Here is a 19,097-nt window from a genome sequence, read left to right on the forward strand (position 1 = left end):
TTGGATAAAATATTTTGGTATCTTAATAATCAGATACCAGATTTTTACTAATTAAAATAACTATAATTGAATTTTCTTTTTGAATATTTTACCATTCAATGTAGTATTAACATTTAATATTATAAGTTAACTGATAAACTGCATGCATAGGAATTTGTGTGCATTAATTAAGGACTGTCATGTAAGTGTTCTTAAACTGAAGAGTTAATTGATTAAAAATTGAAAATATTCAAATGAGAACATGCTGAGAAAATATTTCATGGGAAAATGGATCAGGTGAAGGTTTGTGAGCAAGAAACTATGAATGCCTTTTAGGTGTGAATGATAAGGGATTAAAAATCATTTAAGACTTGTATGCTTATATATCTTATCTGTGTGTGGATCTGGAACAGCTAAGCTGCTACTTCAACTAAGACCAGACATGATATGTGAGTTATATAATCTTATGTGATCAGAATAATTCTTCCCAAAAGAAATTTTGATTGCTGTTTCCCTGCTTATGACACCCTGTTGCCTACAAGATGACACTCAACTCAGGCGGGCACACAGGACCCTTCATGATTGCCCTTTGTCTTGCTTTCAGCCTTATCTACACTTCATCTTTCACCTGTGCTCCTTCCTTGTCCCCCACTTTCCCCAGATTTCTTGTAGGGAATTTTCTGTATTCCTTTAAATATGTTGTAATATTTTCTACCTCATTTATTTGCTCAGGCTGCTCTTTCTGCCTTGAAATCCCCTGACATTATGAGGTCCTAAAAATATAACTTGAAAAATATTTAATGGTTTCTTTGGCGTCATACCATGTGTATTAAAAGTAATAAACAATTGAAATGTATATTCTCTACCTTGGTAACAATGGGTAAGAGTATAGAAATGACTTACTCATATATTCATTCAACAAATGTTTACTGAGCGTCTACTATTTACCAGGCACAGTTCTTGGCCCTGGAGATTTGAGATTGAGCAAAATAGACAAATCTCTGCCACCAAGGAACTTTTACACAAGTGGGGATGGCAGGCAGATAATAAACGGATATGACCAGGCTGAATTTCTGAGGAATATAAACAAAAGCAAGGAAAGGGGAAAAACGGATGGGAGGTGGGTGTTGATAAATGGTCAGGGAAGGCATTTCTGAGAAGGTGACATGTGAGTGTAGATGTGAAAGAAGGGAGGGAGCAAACCATGGGAATATCTGGAGGAAGAATGTTTCAGGAGGAGGGTGCAACAGCCTTGAGTATAGACGGCTTAGTGTTCTTAAGGAACAGGAAGGAGTTCATGGTGGCTGGAGTGGAATGAGCAAAGGGTCTGGGGGAGAAGGTCAGAGAGGTCGTACCTTGCTGGTCCTGGTTGGGGTGTAGCAATTTACTCCAAGTCAGAAGCTCTTTGAGCTTTTGAGCAGGATGGTGATAATTAAAAAAACCCTGCCTGTTGTGTAGAATGTAGACTGCATCGGGAAGAAGAATGTGAGAATAGCTGCAGAAAGACCAGTTAGGAGGCTGTGGTCATCACCTAGGTGAGATGTGTTGGTCGCCTGTATTAGGATGGGAGCAGTGGAGCTGCTGAGAAGTAGTGGGATTTAAGTATGTTCTGAAAGGAGAGCCAAGGGAACTAGCTTGTTGGAGTGGATATAGGGTAGCAGAGTACAATCAAGGATTCTGAAGTTTTTCACTAGAGAAATTTGAGTGATGTAAAGGTAGGCTCATATTGAGATGGGGGAATATCGGAAGGAGGAGCAAGGTTTTTGAGAGGTTATGGAATCAGGAATTTGATTTGGTTTTGTACTTCTTCTTCTTTTTTTTTTTTTTTTTTTTTTGAGACAGAGACTGGCTCTGTTGCCCAGGCTGGATTGCAATGGCACAACCTCAGCTCACTGCAACCTCCGCCTCCCGGGTTCAAGTGATTCTTGTGCCTCAGCCTCCCGAGTAGCTGGGATTACAGGCATGCACCACCATGCCTGGTTAATTTTTGTATTTTGGCCAGGCTTCTGTCAAACTCCTGGCCTCAAGTGATCCGCCCACCTCAGCCGTTTTGTACAGCTTAAGTTTAAGATTCCTATTATGTATCCTAAAGGATTTGTCACATAAGTATTTGGATATGTGAGTCTGAGGATGAGGGAAAGGTAGGACCTGGAAATACAAAATTGGGAACCCTCAGTTTACTGACGGTACTTAAGGAAGAGGTTAGGATAGGAGTCACCTAAAGAGGGAGTGTAGGCAGAGATGGCAAGAGGCCCAAGGTCCCCATCCTGGGACACATGTCTTTATAGGTTGGGAAGGGAAGAGTGTCCAGCAAAGGATTCTGAGGAGGCAGAGCCAGTGAAGTAGGAGGAAAACTACGGGAGTGTGGTATTTGGAGTCAAAGTGAAGAAAGAGTTTCAGGAAGGAGGAGGTGATCAATTGTGTCAGATGCTGCTGAGAGGTTCAGATGAGGTCTGGGAATTGCCCACTGGTATTGCCATTGAGGAGGCTTGCTGACCTTTAGTGGAGTGGAGAGGATAGAAATCTGATTAAAATGGGTTTAAGAATGAATGGACTGAGGAAGTGGAACCAGTTGGGATCAACTCCTCTTTTTGAGGAATTTTGATATGAAGAGGAACAGAGAAATGGAGTAGCAGCTGAGAGCGGTTCAGAATCAAGGTAGATTTAAAGTAGGAGACAACTTTGGAAATAATGATAGTTTTATTCCCCTTTTCTTCTTTGTTAAAAAGAAGACATGACTTACCTGAGGAAATTCTTAGCTTTAATATCTACAGTCGCTATAACATGAGAAAATTGTCATTGAACGAGATAGCACTTTTTGCATTGTGGTGCTAAAAAAAAATCTTTATTTTTGTAGAGATGGGGTCTTGCTGTGTTGGCCAGCCTTGTCTTGAACTCCTGTCCTCAAGCAGTTCTCCTGCCTTGGCCTCCCAAAGTGTTGGGATTACAGGTGCGAGCTACTGTATTTGGCCTAAAAAATCGTTTTATAAAGCATCAGATTTCAGTGCAGTTACAATGTGCTTTCTTCCTTTAGCTTTTCGGATGTTACATAGTGCCTTTGAATTATATGGAGCTGAACTGCCCCATGTGAGATTTTCTATAAACCTAGAAGTAATTTCAGAATAAAAATTTTACACAATTATATGTCTGAAACAAAATTGGTGAAAGTTCTGTTACTCTAATTCTTGTAGAATATCTAAATAGTATTAAAAGAATCAAATAACTTTTCCAAGTAATTCCTTCCACTTAAAAAAAAGTGTTGCGGCCGGGCACGGTGGCTCACACCTGTAATCCCAGCACTTTGGGAGGCTGAGGCAGGTGGATCACGAGGTCAGGAGATCCAGACCATCCTGGCTAACACGGTGAAACCCCATCTCTACGAAAAATACAAAAAATTAGCTGGGCATGGTGGCGGGCGCCTGTATTCCCAGCTACTTGGGAGGCTGAGGCAGGAGAATGGTGTGAACCCAGGAGGTGGAGCTTTCAGTGAGCTGAGATCACGTCACTGCACTCCAGCCTGGGTGACAGAGCAAGACTCTGTCTCAAAAAAAAAAAAAAAAAAAAAAGAAAAAGAAAAAAAGTGTTGCATGGGTATGTCAATTAAAAAAAGTACTTAAAGAAAATTAGCTGATTCGTGCTACTTGATGTTTTACTTGATGTTTGTTCTGATAGGTAGGATTAATTCTACTTAAAATTATACTGTTCTGGTACTACATTTTATAAGTGTTTACATGCTCATTTTAATTTCCTGCTAATTGCAATGATAGCACAATAATGAATTCTACCTATAAATTACATTATCTACTATTAAAATACAGTTTCTTGGTTGTGACACTTTATGCTACTCCACAAAGAGGGAAAATACTTTTGTAAATGAAAGGAAGAGCAGAATGGTGGTGGGTTTTTCTGACTGGTATTTAACATGTGGATAGATTCTTCATACATAGATAATATGCATCATGGGTGAGTCACCAAATTTTAATAAGAAAACCAATTATTTGTGTATATTTTGAAAGATGATGCCTCATAATTTTATTCCTCCTTTGATCAGATAGGACATTTTGTTTAGTAAAATTTCAGAAGACAGATTCCTGCTTCCTGATTGGCATCAATTATCTTACAACACCCCCAATTTTTTTGGAAATGTATGCCTGCCAACTCTTTATTTGAAGAGTTATTTGCTTGCTTTGGCAAAATTGACTCTTGATGAGTGTTCCCCTCTTCTAGCATTTGCTACTCACTAAATTTTCCTCGTGTGTGCTGATGGTGGTAAAAACTCTTGTCACCTTTCTAATCTGTTTGGTAAACCTTATCTTTGATACTTCATTATGTAACCATGGGTTCTCAGTTCTCTCTCGACTCTTACCCTGCAGCTTTGTAGTTACAAGGGGAAATATGACAGTGAGAAAGGAAGAAAATCCACAGAGAGAGAAGAGACTGTGCACTGAACTTTTTCATTAAAACTTTTATAAACTATAAATAGCTCCTTTCACCTTTAGTCAAAGGAAATATCAAGAAGGCCTGTAGGGTAGCTCCCTATGGCTGTTTAAAAAGTGTTTGATTTTTATGGAATAGTGCAAAAGCAAATTGCAAAGTCAATAGAAACAGGAATACTGGAGAAGAATTGACAGGAACTGATAAAATTAAGGAGTGACTGAGAAAATGAGTCTGACAGCCCATGGCTGATACAGAAGAAAGTGCCAGACTGATCTGAACCAAGAGAACCAAGACAAGTACAAGCCCTCCTGCAGAAGTACAGGACCCAGGATGGGAGTCTGTGGTTCCTAACAGCTTAGTGCCTGATCACACTTAAACATACATTATGCTTATCACTGGATTGCAATAACGCTTGCTTTACTGAACACTATTCTAAGTAGTTTGTACATCATTTAGCCCTGCAGCAACCCTCTTAGGTATAGGAACTATTCTAAGTATTCCCATAAGATTGGTACCTTGCCCAAGGCTTGGATCAGGAACACAGATTTGTCTGATCCTTGAGTTTACATTATTCTTAATCTAGCTGTTCTGCATCTGACTTTATGTTGAAGTTAGTGCCCCAGTGCACCTGTTTATATGGCTTCATCTGTGATGTTTTCTCTTTCCTCCTTATCAAACCTGTTTTAAACCTTAGAGTTCTGAGTTAAATAACCTTGGTGGGTGTGGCAGGAAATCTCTGAAACAAGGTGGATCCATGCTGCATTGTGATTCCTTGCATTCAGGTGGTCCTGCCAGGGCTGCAATTACTAGGTGCCCTTAGACGGAACTAGTTATGATGGGGTCAGGCAGAAGGTACCTCTGTGTTTCATGTGAGCTGAATCTTTCCTAAATGATTAAGAGAAACAGTGGTTATTGAGGGAATCATGTGCTTCAGGGGAGGACTGATAAAACTAAGTTAATCTATTAGGCCTTTGTATTGTGATAAGTAAAACTTTACTTTCCCTAAATTAGAATAAATATTGGGGAGAGGAAGAGAGAGGTGTAAAGATGGTCTCCAAGTTCCTGGTGACTAGCTGTTGTAACAGTCCCCAAAGCTATATTTTTCTTAACATAGGTGGAAAAAAAGTTTGGTTGTCTGTGTCCAGGGCAACTAGGAAAAAATATGTCTCTGTCGCCAGGCTGGAGTGCAGTGGTGTGATCTTGGCTCACTGCCACCACCGACTCCCTGGTTCAAGTGATTCTCCTGCCTTAGCCTCCCGAGTAGCTGGGATTTTAGGCATGCACCACCATGCCCAGCTGATTTTTGTATTTTTAGTAGAGACGGGGTTTCACCATGTTGGCCAGGATGATCTCAATCTCTTGACCTCGCAGTCCGGCCACCTTGGCCTCCCAAAGTGCTAGGATTACAGGCGTGAGCCACTGTGCCTGGCCTGATAAAACACATCTTTGAACCATATGTTCAAACCGTACTTGGAGTACTTGGCAGAGTACTTGGAGACCCTGGAGTCCATCCAGATAATCTTCTACCAGAGGGGAGAAAAGAACCTTTATTCATAAAGGTTCAAATTACAGAAATCATTCGAATCTTCTAGGCTGTGCTCCTATGATATTACAAAAGTTCTTTGTTGAATTATCAAATTACATCCATATATAGATAATAACTCTGGTGCTAAGAGTGATCATTGCCAGTCTGTGGATATACATGCATCTCCAACCCCCAGCATTTTACTTATTGAATTCTCTGTGACTCTAGTATTCAGAATTTGATTACCTAAAGTGAAAATCTGCCAATTTTGCCTGATCTGTCATTCTGAGGCCTTCTCAACTTGAACTCCCATAGTATTTTTCTCTTACCTTTTCTATGACAATTATTTTCATATTATATTTATTTGTATAAGTATCTGTGAGAGCAGCAGTTGTGTCTCGTTCATCTTTATACCTCCTGTAGTGATTAATACAAAACTCAATAAATGGTTGGTAAATGAATAGAACACAGAAAAAATCTTTCAGTCGTGAAATACAGAAAATGTAGTTTACTTTACAATGTCTTCTTAGCACTTTCTTTACATATTCCACAAATCCCTAGTGTACTTCTTTGGCTTTTTCCAAAATCCCCTCGATATTACTTGTTTAATTTTTAATAACCCTTTTTCCTTCGTGGCCAGAAGCCTTTAAAGGTCAGGATCGGTGCAACAAACCACTTTCAGTTTCACATTTTTTATCACATTTCTTAGCTACTTATGTGTGGCAGTATTTACCAACAATTTGTAGGTGGTATCTATAAGGATAGTCAGTTTATTTCCCATTAGGTACTGTGCCTAAAATTTGAGCATGTGTTACCACAGCAACTTGGATGTCTGGTTAAACTAATTGGTCAAAGCATTCAGGCTTCCTGCAAGTTCAGATAACTGATTAGTAGCTAATGTTCTATGGCTTTCCTCTATAAATTATAAGAATAAAAATGTTAATATAATAATACTCAATTTAGTACAAATTTTTATATAGTTAAGTGTGTGAAGTAGCTTTGTAAAAACCTTGACTGCTATTAAACCCATCCTTTCCTACCATTATATAAGTTAACATCTATCTTGTATCTCCCTTTCCTAGAGTTTAAAACAAGACATCTATTAAGTTATTTATTCTACTTCTGGTGTTAGTGGTTCACAGTAGCTCCGTATCCTTTCTGTACATGTATCCCCATGGGTACCAGCACTCTTGATTATAAGGAGCTGAAAATCAACTTGAAGTGGCTAAAGAAAGAAATAGATTTATTGGGAAGAGAAGTATTGCAGGATAGAAACAAGAGCTGAACAACTGCGCTTTAGAAAGTCAGGCATCCAGCAGAGCTAGCACCTCAGCGGGTGCTATCTCCATGTTATCAGTGCTGTCTGTCTCTATGCTACCCTCATCTCCTAATTTTACTACCTGATGGCTTTAGGGTCTGAGTTGAGCTTCTTTACAGGTCGAGAGACACTGCCACTGGCTGCCTCTAAGCGAATGCTTTCTCTGCTTTGCTACCATCAAGGGTGGAGGGGAGGGGCGCAACTGAGCTCTGGCTGAAAAAGTCCCAGGGAAGGATTACTCTAAGTTGGATTCCTTGTCTGTTCCTGGATAAGGTGCAGCCCTCCTTAGACTGCAGTGGATGGCGTGGGGTGGAAAAACCATTCCCCAGGAAGAGAGAAAAAATGTGCTGGCCATTCCAAACAATTCGGTTCTACTTCTTTTTAAGAAACAGGAACCTATCCTATTTTAATAAACACTCAGGGAAAGCATTCCACAAGGGATGGCAAAAAGGATTCGACTAATATTTGGGTGCTGCTGTTGTCACTATGTTACCGAATACAAAAGGGTTGCAGAGTAGGTTAAAGCATTTCAGAGTTGTTAATATCCCTGTGACTTATGCATGTTTGTAGTGAACCTGATTTCACTCTCACCCAGTGATACTGAACTGTTAAATGATCTATGATGAATCTTCTTTAGCCAAAAGCCTTTTTTTGGTTTTCTTTCTGTTATTGAAGAGCGATGCACACATGGTTTTGGAATGATCTAAATTATATCAGTATTAGCTTGAAAAGGCAAATACTAAAACAATGCCACAGGAAAGTCAATTAAATTATATAGGGATACACATTTTAATTTCAGTTTTTAATGTCTTCAGTTGGTTATCCTTTATTTGTCCTAAATATTTATTGTCGAATATCCAGCACTGTTAACCATTCTTTCCCAAGGGCCTGCTTCCTATTTTATTTCTTAGGTGTATGTAGAGTGAGACAAAAGAAGTATATTACTTAACAAATACTTTTTATTTGAGTATTTTCAAGTATGTACTACATAAGTGGCAAAGGTTTTCTAGATTTAAAACTGTCAAATGTAATTAAAAATTATTTCTGTATGTTTATTTGGCAGGCTCTTTTAAGAGGGTTTTCTTCCTTTTGAGATTTTCCTAATTTTTCAAACTAAGTGAAAATTTGGAAAGCTGGGACAAAGTCCCTAAAAGCAATAAAACTCACTTATAACCCCCAACTAGAAAATATGTTTTCTGTTGTTGTTGTTGTTTTGTTTTTTTTTTCCTTTTCAGAGTTTATTCAGAAACTTAGGTAAGTTTTTGCAAATGAGACTTAGCTTCTTAAGCAGTTTTTTGATAGTCATGGGATTGTAGCCTCTGTCCTCAATGGCATTTTGACACCAGGAAGAGAGAAAATCCTCACATCTTTTCTCAGTGCCATTTGCCTTTCTTCTTGATGCTATCCCAAGGATTTTATGTCTGCCATTGAGGTCTTATAATTTAATTCACATTTCTCAGATCATATTAGTGCTATACATTTGGAACTCTGTGATACTGTTATTTCGTGGATGTGGTCATAATAAAATCACTTTTACATCCGGATCTTCTCCATGCTACACACTTGAGGCATGACACCACATCAGAACTCCAGTTGTGTTTCTGCTTAGGGTGTAAAAATGAAAAACTGTGCCGTGCCCATGTGAATGCCCATGCATTTTAGATATCACCTGAATAAATAAGTAATAAATACATAAATGTGCATGTATATGTATGTAGAAACCATATGTATGGTTGATATATAGAAAACCAGTATCTGTTTTAATGCAGACACAAGTCTTTTGAAACAAGGGTTTGTAATTGAATTAATGAGGAAGCAAAAACTGAGATGCAGACAAATTATTATCCAGGATAATTTGAAACAAGGGTTTGTAATTGAACTAATGGGGAAGCAACAACTGAGATGCAGACAAATTATTATCCAGGATAATTGAGGGCATACAACCAGGAAACACAACATGTAGGGATGAGGACATTTATTTCATAAAAAGGAGTAGGCTGAGCCAGCAGCGGTGGTGCACACCTGTAATCCCTGCTCTTTGGGAGGCCAAGGAGGGTGGATCACTTGAGCCCAAGAGTTTGAGACCAACCTGGGCAACATGGCAAAATCCTGTCTCTACAAAAAATACAAAAATTAGCTGGGCATGGTGGCATGCACCTGTGGTTCCAATTACTCAGCAGGCTGAGGTGCTGAGTGGGAGGATCACTTGAAGCTGGGAGGTCCAGCCTGCTGTAACTCATAATCGTGCCGCTGTACTTCAGCCTGGGCAACAGAGTGAGACCCTGTCTCAAAAAGAAAGCAGTGCCCTGAAATCAGATTTTTTTGAAAGCCAGGCAAAAATAAGATTTTTAAAAAATGATAGTCTGCATCTACCAGTTTCTGTTATAGAGTCATAATTGTCAACTTTACACGCTGCTTCTTGACAACCTTAACAATCTGAAGTTCCCTTGCTATAGCTCTAGCTTTGGATTTTAATTTCCAACTTAGATGAAGTTCATAACAAAACATTTTTTCACCTGAACATATTTTCTGCAGTTCATAGGGATCAGCACAGGATTTATCTTTAGCCAAGACATGTTACAGCATCCATTGTATGCAAAATTGTATCAGCAATGTAGGGAATGCAGAGATGAAGAAAATGTGGCATGTATGTGTGTTTATTAGAATTGTGTTGTTTTTATTAGTGTTCTGGATGTGTAGGTTTTGAATGGTCTTCCTCAATATCATTTTCCACATAAGTCCTTTGGTTTTTAGGGTGTAATTTAACAGAATGTAAAGTTTTGCTGGGAACAGATTTATTGGGTTGTGATAGAATCACCTATGTTTATTGATAAAGTTAGTTCTTTTTTCCCCTACAGAATCAAGAAAACACTCAAAGTTGTATAATATTAGGAGGAAAATCTCAACATTGCCATGCAATGTCGTGCATGACATATGGATAGGTTTGGTATTGTGGTTAAGACATGGCTGTTAAACATTCAGTTTAACAGATTCCTCCAGAATTTCACGGTGTTTTGGGAAAGTATTTTAGATAAGTGACATTTCTTCAAATATATGAGATTGTAAGTAGTGAGTGACATCAGAAGAGAATTAAGTCATAAAGTTTTTAGGGTTCACAAAAAGGTTGGGGTTTAGGCTTACTAAAACAAAATGAACATTTAAAAATCAATAACATGAAATTTTACCATAAAAATTTACAACATAAAATAGATTACTAATATATTACTAAATATAATCTATTTTAAAAGAGAAAGTATTTGCTAGGGTTATATGGAATTATAATCATTTGAAAAGCAACTTATTTTTGGAAAATTTCTGTTTTCTTTATTACTTTTGAAAATAAATTTATAATTTTTTCCTTTCTTTTAGACTTAAAAGTTTTAATGAAGCTAATTCATAAAGTAGCTGATTATTATAGTTAGATTCGTATATATAAAGTACTCTTTTCTTCCCTCATATTTAAAATTTTCTTAGTGTTTCTTTTTCCTTGTTCTGTTAAAAAAAAGTGTTTTCCCTTCACAGGCTTTTGGTAGAAAAGGAAAAAAAAAGATAAAGATAGAAAAAAAGTAATTCTCTATCCCTTTCTTCAGTTCTTTTTTCCAGGTTTTAAAAAATTGTTTGGCCCCACCTGTCCTTCAGACCCTATTTATGTGAAGATCAGTCATCTGGCAGCCTCTTGTGTCTGAGATAGCTCCACGAAGGCTGACATGAAACAAGGGTTTCTGAGTACTGCAGAGCCTGTGGAGTAAGGCCTACATGTTTTCCACTCAGGAGAAAGTTCATGGTTCTGCTTTGAACCCACCTGTTGACTCGAGCCATTCACACCCTCTTCTAATAAGCCTGATTATCTAGTTGCCCAATACGGGGATGGCTGAGGAAGCCTGTAGCAAGAAGACTGAGGAGAGTGTGGTGATATTAGAAGGAAGAGGCACATATAGGGCCATAATAAGTCGATTTTGATGCTAAAAAGAGAATGAATCATAAAAATGAAGCAGAAGAACACTTAGATGTCAGATTATTGAGATTAGGAGCCAGTTGGCCCTGTATACCTACTGTTAAACCCCGAGGGCTGCTGCTGATGTTTATAATTGGCCCCATCATCAGTTGAAGATTAGATTGTGTTTATTATAATCTCTTTTAAAAGTCAGGGAAGTGCATACTACTTTTTAGAATTTAAAAAAGTCTCATATAAAGACAGGCATTTCAAAGGATCGATTTTTGTTTACTCACAAAAATGACCTAGTAGATGTTAGTCTTGTTTTTCTCTCTGTCCACTGAGATTGTTTTTACAAGCCTTTTTGTCTCTTCTCTTTGAAGCTATAATTTTTATTTTAACCTCTACTGTTGTTCTTTTATGGCATAGTTTCAGACATCTCAATGGCCTCTAATAAAGATATTCTTAACACCATAGATTGTGAATCCTGTATGACATAATGATTAATTTCCTGCAGCTTTGCGCTCTCCCTGCTCTCTTTACTTCTGCTTTATAGTCAGACTTGGTGTCTACATGCTTGTTGAGACTATTATTTTCCCCTACCCATTCCTCAAGCTACCCATCCATTTCCACTCTACATATGTCCACAGAATTTGTTTGAACTTCTGTCATCAGCAACTCTTCTTACTGTTTATTTATTCAGCAAGTACTGAGTGCTGTCCTAGGGGCTGGGGAAACACAGGAGAACAAACGAGAAGTCCATGCTCTTAAGCAGTTTACATTCTAGTGGGGAAGGAAGACAAACAAAGTAAATTAATGAACAAAAACAGTGTAATGTGATAGGGGAGGGAGGAGCAACAGCAGAGGAAAGCCAGAGAAGGACTCTGAAGAGGCAATACCTGAGGTCCAACTGAGTAATGGGAACAAGTCAGCCAAGGGGTTATCTGGGAAGAACATTCTAGGCAGAGAGAACAGCAAACAGAAACATTCCTGAGAAACCAGCTTTGAGGAAAAGAAAAATTGTCCATTGTGACTGAACCATAGTTGGATGAGTGTTGTGCTCAGATCCACTTGGTCAGTGGGTGCCTAGGGTGAACAGAAGTCCTTCCCGTCCAGGTCTCAGTCAGTGACTGATCAGCCCAGGGATACAAAAGCCTGGCCCTCTTGCTTCAGGGGAGACTAATGCTGGGTGTAGTTTTTGTCTGAGGCCACATTCTTCCTTGGCTTTTCCCCTCCCTGTCCTGCCTCCCCATTTCTTTTCACTGAGGGCACTGCCCCCAATAAATTGTAAGATCTGGGCCCAGCTCTGTTTCTAGGAAACCCTGACCTAGGCATATAAGCAAACTTTTGATCTATCATCTGAGCTCCAGACCCTTAGACAGCTGCTTGTGCAACATGTCCACTTGGATGTTCAGAGATACCTAAAACTCAATGTGTAAAAAATTGAGTTTATAATAGTTTCCTCTTTTCCTCAAGCTTGTATTCTTCCTGTGTTCACTGGTTTACTTTATGAACCAGCCTTTTACCTAGTTATACTAGAGAATTCAGTATAGATTTTCCCTTTCCATAGACTTCATGTCCAGTCACTCAGCAGGTAACCCATGGTGAATGCCTCTTACCTCTGTTGTTTTTCCACCCACATTTTCATGGCTTTAGTTCAGGGCCTTGTCTGAAACACTAGCTTAGCTTCCCAAGTGGCCTCCCCACTTCCCTTCCTTCACCTCTCCAATCCATTTCTACACCATTACCCTGTCGTAAGATGAAAAATCTCATCCAGCCACTCTTCTGCCTCTAGTCCTGTAGGGCTTTTCTATTGGATAAAATGGCAACTTCATATAGGATAAAATTCCCAACTTTTTAGCATGGCTTACAGGGCCCTTTCTGCCCTGGCATTGAGCCACCTTTCTTCTGAGCCTTCGCAGTGGTGACCACTGTGAGTATGGCTTGGTTATTTCCTCATACAGCTTCCAGTTTCAGGCTTCATGCTATTCCCCAAATGTCCTTCTTCTCCTGGGTAGTACTGGAAGCTTCAGCTTTACGTTACCTCCTCTGTGAAGTCTTTTTTTGAGCCACCTAAGGAATATTATTTATACTGAATAGAGCACTCTCAAAATACTCATTTCAGTGTATTATAATCACTTGCTTTATTTCTAATCACTTAAGGCATTCATTGAATGCAGAGCACATGGCTCTTCACATTGCTAGGCACATTAGCACGTTTGCTGAATGAATAGATGAAAGATTAAAGGAGAAATGTTACTGTGTTTGTTGGTTTTTATACAAGATATCTTAGTGAACACAAACATTGTACGAATGTTAGGGGAAAGGGGATTGCCTAAGAAGAACCTTTAGCCCTAAAATTTGGAGTTGGGAAATTCATTAATTTTTTAAATGTTAATTTAATATTTGCTAGATGCCTAGCATTGTATTATGTGGTATTTAAGTAAATTTTGAAAAATGCAATTGGCGTGATTTATCAAGGGCCTTAAAATGGGGAAAATGCCAACAGTACAAGAGAGTTTTATGAGGTGGTGTATGATTAAATCTTGAATGACTCAAATAAGAAGTGCTGTTGGTTCTGGAAAAGGTGTCTTTGTGGGCTGGAGGGATAACCAATCACAAAAAAGTCAGGTTCTTGAAAGACCTGTTGAAGTCTATTCTGCAAAAATGATGCTCATATAATTCAATAGTTTTCAGATATTAAGGAGATAGCTTTCTCTTTTGACTTTGTTGAAGATGAAAGTATGTAATATTTGTATTTGAACAATAACTTTTTAAAAAGATTTTACATGAGCTTTTGTGTTGTAAGAAAACAAAGTTGAATTATCTTCACAGTGTCATTCAAAATGATGAAGGTGAAGATAGTTTGCAAGTGGGAGAAAGAAGAGATGATTCATTTAAACCAATTAGGATGTGAAGGGAAAACACTTTGCCTGAGGTTTCTCATCATCATTGTATACCCTAGTTTGGGGAGCTTTGGGAATATCGACCACTTATCATTGACACAGTAGTTACCGCCTCTTGTAATTTTTAAAATACGTGAATATTTACAAGGTTAGATTTCATGCCTTTTTTATTTCTTGCCTAAGGTATTTCTCAGTTGTATTGTTGTATCTTAATCTAATTTATGTCCTTTTGTGATTCTGTGTACCGAGGACAGGAACTCCTTTAAAAAAGAGTGGATCAACCACTCTCCTGTAGGGGTCGCTATGAGAGTAGCAGTCTGGCATCCTTCCTTTGCCGCCTAGCACCTTGTGGCATGACTTGGCACAATTTGCCTAAGGGTTGTGAGATCTGGCTTGTTTTGGTATTTTATTTTTCAGAATGGTATGAGCTCTAAGTCCACCAAAAATTCTGCAAGCTCATAACTATGCATTCTTTTACTTTGGTTCTGTGTATGCTGCATATGCTGCACCTGTGCTTTTTTTTTTTAACCACATATTTGGTGCGTGGTTATTTTAGACTTCTCATCATACTCCATTTGCATATGACAAATATATACACGTAGACACCATTTTAGCAGCTTTTGCAGCATGCATGATGGTGGCTGAAACTTGGCCTTCTATAGGATCCCAGATTATTATTTAATGGGGTTGTCACTCAGGACACTTACTGGCTTTCTCCAGTGCTCTTAAAAAATTGAATTGAGCATGATGAGGTGCATCCCCTTGATTAAATGTTTTTCCTCCTATGCAATCACCATTAGCTGTTTGGCTCCCATTCTGTATTCTTCTGAAGCAGCCCTGCATTGCAAATCAATATCTTTCTGAAAAGACAGTGTGTTGTGAATTGCCTTGACAGCATATGCACGGTTACTTTGGCTGCAATGCTGCTGCAGAGCCCGGTTACTCTGCCTTCGTGGGAACTCCACAGGCAAGTCCATCGTGTTTGGAAAAAAAAATTAGATTTTTTGGAGAAAATAATTGAGCTGTTAAAGCTATTGATACTGAATGTTAGCATGTCCTTTGAGTTCTTCTCAACAGTTTTTGGTCTTATTCCACTGAGATTAGCTTCTCTTAGGGGATTTCTGGGCTTTTTTTTTTTTGCTTGCTTATGCATCCCCCTCTCTTGGTTGTAGTACGGCCGTACCATTTCAGCTTGCTAGTGCAGAAAGATGTGAATTCAGTTGCTGTATGAGCCTGGCCTGGTGCAAACACATTGCTAGAGACATGTTAAAGAGTTCCAGGTGAATCAAGCCTGAGGGAGACAACAGCAAAACGGTAAGACAGAGCATGCTTAAAATTACAGGAGGGGTTTTAATTTGGAGCATCTCGGCAAGTCTGAATCCTGACTCACTCATTTACAACTTAAAAAGGATTCATTTTATGCATGTCATTTTACTCACTTCCTTCTATTTAACTGCCAGAAACATCACAGATTGATAAAGGGGGTATTTAAATTAGAGACTGACTGGAGGTTACTCATGGGAGAGTCTTTTGAGGCTCCCGAGGCTACTGCTTGTAGTTTGTAAACACCAGTAGCAGTGATAAGATGGGGAAAAGGTTTAACGACTGCTTCTTTGCCATATCTGAGTCTTATTCCTTCTGAAACTAGTCTTTATTTATTACAGCTGAAAGAGATCTTACATTTTTTTTTGCCTGGCTGTGCTTGGCTGAATGCCCTCTGAGTCAAGCAAGTGAAGGACGAGAGACTACTTTTTCCATTTGAGTAAACTGATGTCCATGAATTTAGCTGGATTGGATCTGAGTAGAATAAATATCTCTAATATATTAGAGACCTGGGGCTTCCTCCCTGCTCATCCTATTTCCTTCCTTTTTGGATCACAGAAATACACCTGCTTTAAGTGTGTACTGCTGAGCAGAGGTCAGTGTGCTGGTATTTTGCATCATTACACCTGTAGTGGTTATGCTTTTATGTACAGAAGTGATAATTCTTCGTGCAGTTCTGCGTGAAGTGCCAGCTCTAATAGTAGACTATTAGCATTTTGGATGCTAATGGAGAACCCCTGCATTCATGAAGGACCGTGGTAGCAGACAGCCTACTCCAATGAGGCTTACCTGCTTGTAAAGCAGATAAAATTGAGAGATAGGAATGTAAACCTTGACGTCTTCAGAGACTGAATTTTTGTTTCCTTTGTTAATTGTCACACAGTTGACATATTTGATGTGGCGGGGGTTTGAACTTGAAGGACATGTTTTAATAGTGTTCAAAGTGAGATTAATAACATTACTTAGTCCTAGTGACTTTATATGGATCCACCTATTATTATATAGGTGCTGAATGTTAAGGATGTCAGCATTTGATTTTTTGCTTTAAAAATATTCCACTTGTGTATAGTTTAATTAACTTAGTACTTTATGTAAAATGTAGATGGTGAATGTTAAAAAAATCAGTAGCTTGCATGTTGGCTATTATACAGAACTGGCATGTAGCCAGTTCTGTATAATTTTGTGACATAAGTAAATTTAAGAAAGATCGCCTGATTAGTTGATAGGCTAATTGAGAGAAATATGGGTAACTGTTGTGGTTCACTATGAGTAAATTTCTTTAAATGGTGCAGTGCTTCTGTATTCACTCAACTATTTACTGTTGAGGTTGGACATTGATTGTTGGGAGTGAATATTTGGATTTTCTTCCAAAGATAGATCAAATTTACCTCTCTTTTTTTTTAAACTTTTTTTTTCTGTTTGGAAGATGATGCGCCCTGTGTTTACTGTTTCTTTTTCTGAGAATCTTGTGTTTTAGCTATTCATATTTTTACCTTTACTTTGTGTGAGTTGTGAGGATTTTTTTTTCATCCTGTGACAGAAGGAATTGTAAGTTTGCGAAAAGTAATTTTTAAAAAGTAGAGCAATAACGTGACTGATTTTACAATCATACGATATTTCTCTCATTCTGCAAATATTGATTAGCCACCCACTATGTGTAAAACATTGTAAGACCTGCTGTAAAGGAAGTATGGATGAAACAGTACATTTTCCTGAAGAAGCTTAGATATAGTTGTGTTAGTATTTTCCCCTGGAATACGCCCCATTATACTTTCTCATGGATAGTCAGTTTGGTGCTTTTTAATCCTCTCCTTTTAAAAAAGCATTTTTTGGTTAAACATTTTTGGAGTCTGTTGTGTAATAGTGGTGAGTAAAACAGATCTAGTCCTGGTTCTTATGGAACTTATAGTCTACTATGTTTTTTTTTTTTTTTTTCAATTGAGCCGAGGGTCTCACTATGTTGGCCAGGTTTGTCTTGAGCTCCTGGACTCATGTGACCCTCCTGCTTTGGCCTTCCAAAGTACTGGGATTACAGGCATTAGCCACTGCACGCAGCTACAGTCTACTTTTAAAAATATTTCAAAGAGAAAATATGTGGCAAGTTTTTTTTTTTCATTTTGGTAGTTATGAAGGAGATATTGTATGCTTTGATATTTTTTATTGTGGTGAAATATATATAACACAAATCTTGCCATTATTACCATTTTTAAGTTTATAATTCAGTGGCATTAGATATATTCACAGTGTTTTCAACCATCACCACTATCCATTTCCAGAACTTTTTCATCAACCCAAACAGAAACCCTACCCTGCTCTCATTAAATAGTAACTCCCCATTCCCCTTCCCCCTGCCCCTGGTAATCTTATTCTACTTTCTGTGTCTGTGAGTTTGGCATTCTAGGTACCTCATAGTAGATTAAATTGAGTCATATGTATTTTTTCTTTTGTCTCTGCCGTGTTTTAGCATGTTTTCAAGGTTCATCCATGTTGTATCATGTATCAGAATTTCATTCCTTCTTAATGCATTCTTTGATTTTTATATGGGATAGACAGCAGTTTTTCCTCATATGATGACATGAATCAAGTTCCTATATGGACATCGTAATAAATACTTTAGATATACTAAAATAGCCTATGGGAAAGGGCAAGGAATAAGGAATAGAAATGCACTGAGAGGAAGAGTTATGGATATATTATATATTATTTTCATATATTTATCTATGGATGTATTATAATTGAGATGCTAAGATTTTCACATCAATTCTTTGCTGATAGCAGCATTCAGCTGAAATAATTGGAAGCTGGGCCATGGCTTTTGTCATTATTAACATTTGAATTTCACCCACTGTACTTGTGTCTCCTTTCTCTATTTTACTTCATAAGCAAAGACTGATCATGTTGAGGTCTTCTTACAGAGTCAGAGACTCTTAGAGCTGGCAGGTACTTTAGAAATTGTGTTATTTAATTGGTTCATTATCATTCATTAGCCAACGTGAGAGGGAAACTCAGTCTCCTGCTGCCCGCCATGGGCCTTCTTTTACTCCCCACCCCTGTTTTCAGTGGAAACAACCAGAAAACCCCAAGTATCCTCTGAGTTTGACAGAAATAGTAGAGGGTGTAAATTTGATGCCACATTAAGAAGTTTTCCGTTGGATGAGGTAAGCCTAGCTTCATCAATACAGCTTTCTGTTTCTCAGATTTCTTCCTGATACTGCTTCCATAAATCCAGATGGTTTTTCTGAGGGGACCCTTTTTAGAAAGCCAAGTTAAGGCCTCAGTGCTGTTCATTTATTTTCTGTCGACCATTTTGACAGTTCTTACACTGGGTCAGTCAGCAGTTTATATCCATGCTTTTAACTCACTATCCAGGGGACCCAACCATTTATAGAGGAAGAAGATTCAACATAGCAATATCCAATACCTGAGTCTTCCCAAATAAGCCTGCTCCTTCTTAATGGGTCTTGCTTTCTATCCCCCTAACTGTTTTTCTGTCCTCCTAACTGTTTTTCTGTTATGGCCTGACTTTTATTATGAGACTAATTCAGAATCAGATTAATCAAATGCATGTTAAATTTGAGTGGTAGGTTTGTGGGGAGAGAGGGAAGATGGGCCAGAAAACCTTAAACCAGTGAGCAGTTATTTTGCACAGCTTTGGAAGTACTTTTTTTTTTTTTT

The 19,097-nt window shown here is 38.3% G+C and overlaps 1 protein-coding gene across 4 annotated transcripts in view, besides 2 other annotated features; it reads left to right on the forward strand.

Moving 5' to 3' along the window:
- Positions 1-19,097, forward strand: part of CDK14 (cyclin dependent kinase 14) — a 614,270-nt gene that overhangs the window by 98,224 nt on the left and 496,949 nt on the right. For 2 of the 4 annotated variants that reach the window (NM_001287136.1, NM_001287137.1), the window contains exon 1: positions 15,272-15,413. The exons of 1 other annotated variant lie outside the window; for it this stretch is intronic. Coding sequence is in view for 1 of the 3 variants with exons in the window: in NM_012395.3 (NP_036527.1) it covers positions 14,998-15,066 (69 nt within the window). In the remaining 2 variants the exon portion in view is untranslated. Of the gene's footprint in view, positions 1-14,853; positions 15,067-15,271; positions 15,414-19,097 lie in introns of those variants that run through there. One more of the 4 variants, NM_012395.3, reaches the window with a different exon arrangement.
- Positions 14,509-14,628: an enhancer, noted in NCBI's record as "active region_26248". NCBI's record gives its function as "activates an Ori minimal core promoter by ATAC-STARR-seq in GM12878 lymphoblastoid cells {active_cell/tissue: GM12878}" and the evidence as "EXISTENCE:reporter gene assay evidence [ECO:0000049][PMID:35858748]".
- Positions 15,079-15,268: an enhancer, noted in NCBI's record as "active region_26249". NCBI's record gives its function as "activates an Ori minimal core promoter by ATAC-STARR-seq in GM12878 lymphoblastoid cells {active_cell/tissue: GM12878}" and the evidence as "EXISTENCE:reporter gene assay evidence [ECO:0000049][PMID:35858748]".

Source organism: Homo sapiens, chromosome 7 (genome assembly GCF_000001405.40).
Source record: "Homo sapiens chromosome 7, GRCh38.p14 Primary Assembly".
Lineage (NCBI taxonomy): Eukaryota > Metazoa > Chordata > Mammalia > Primates > Hominidae > Homo > Homo sapiens.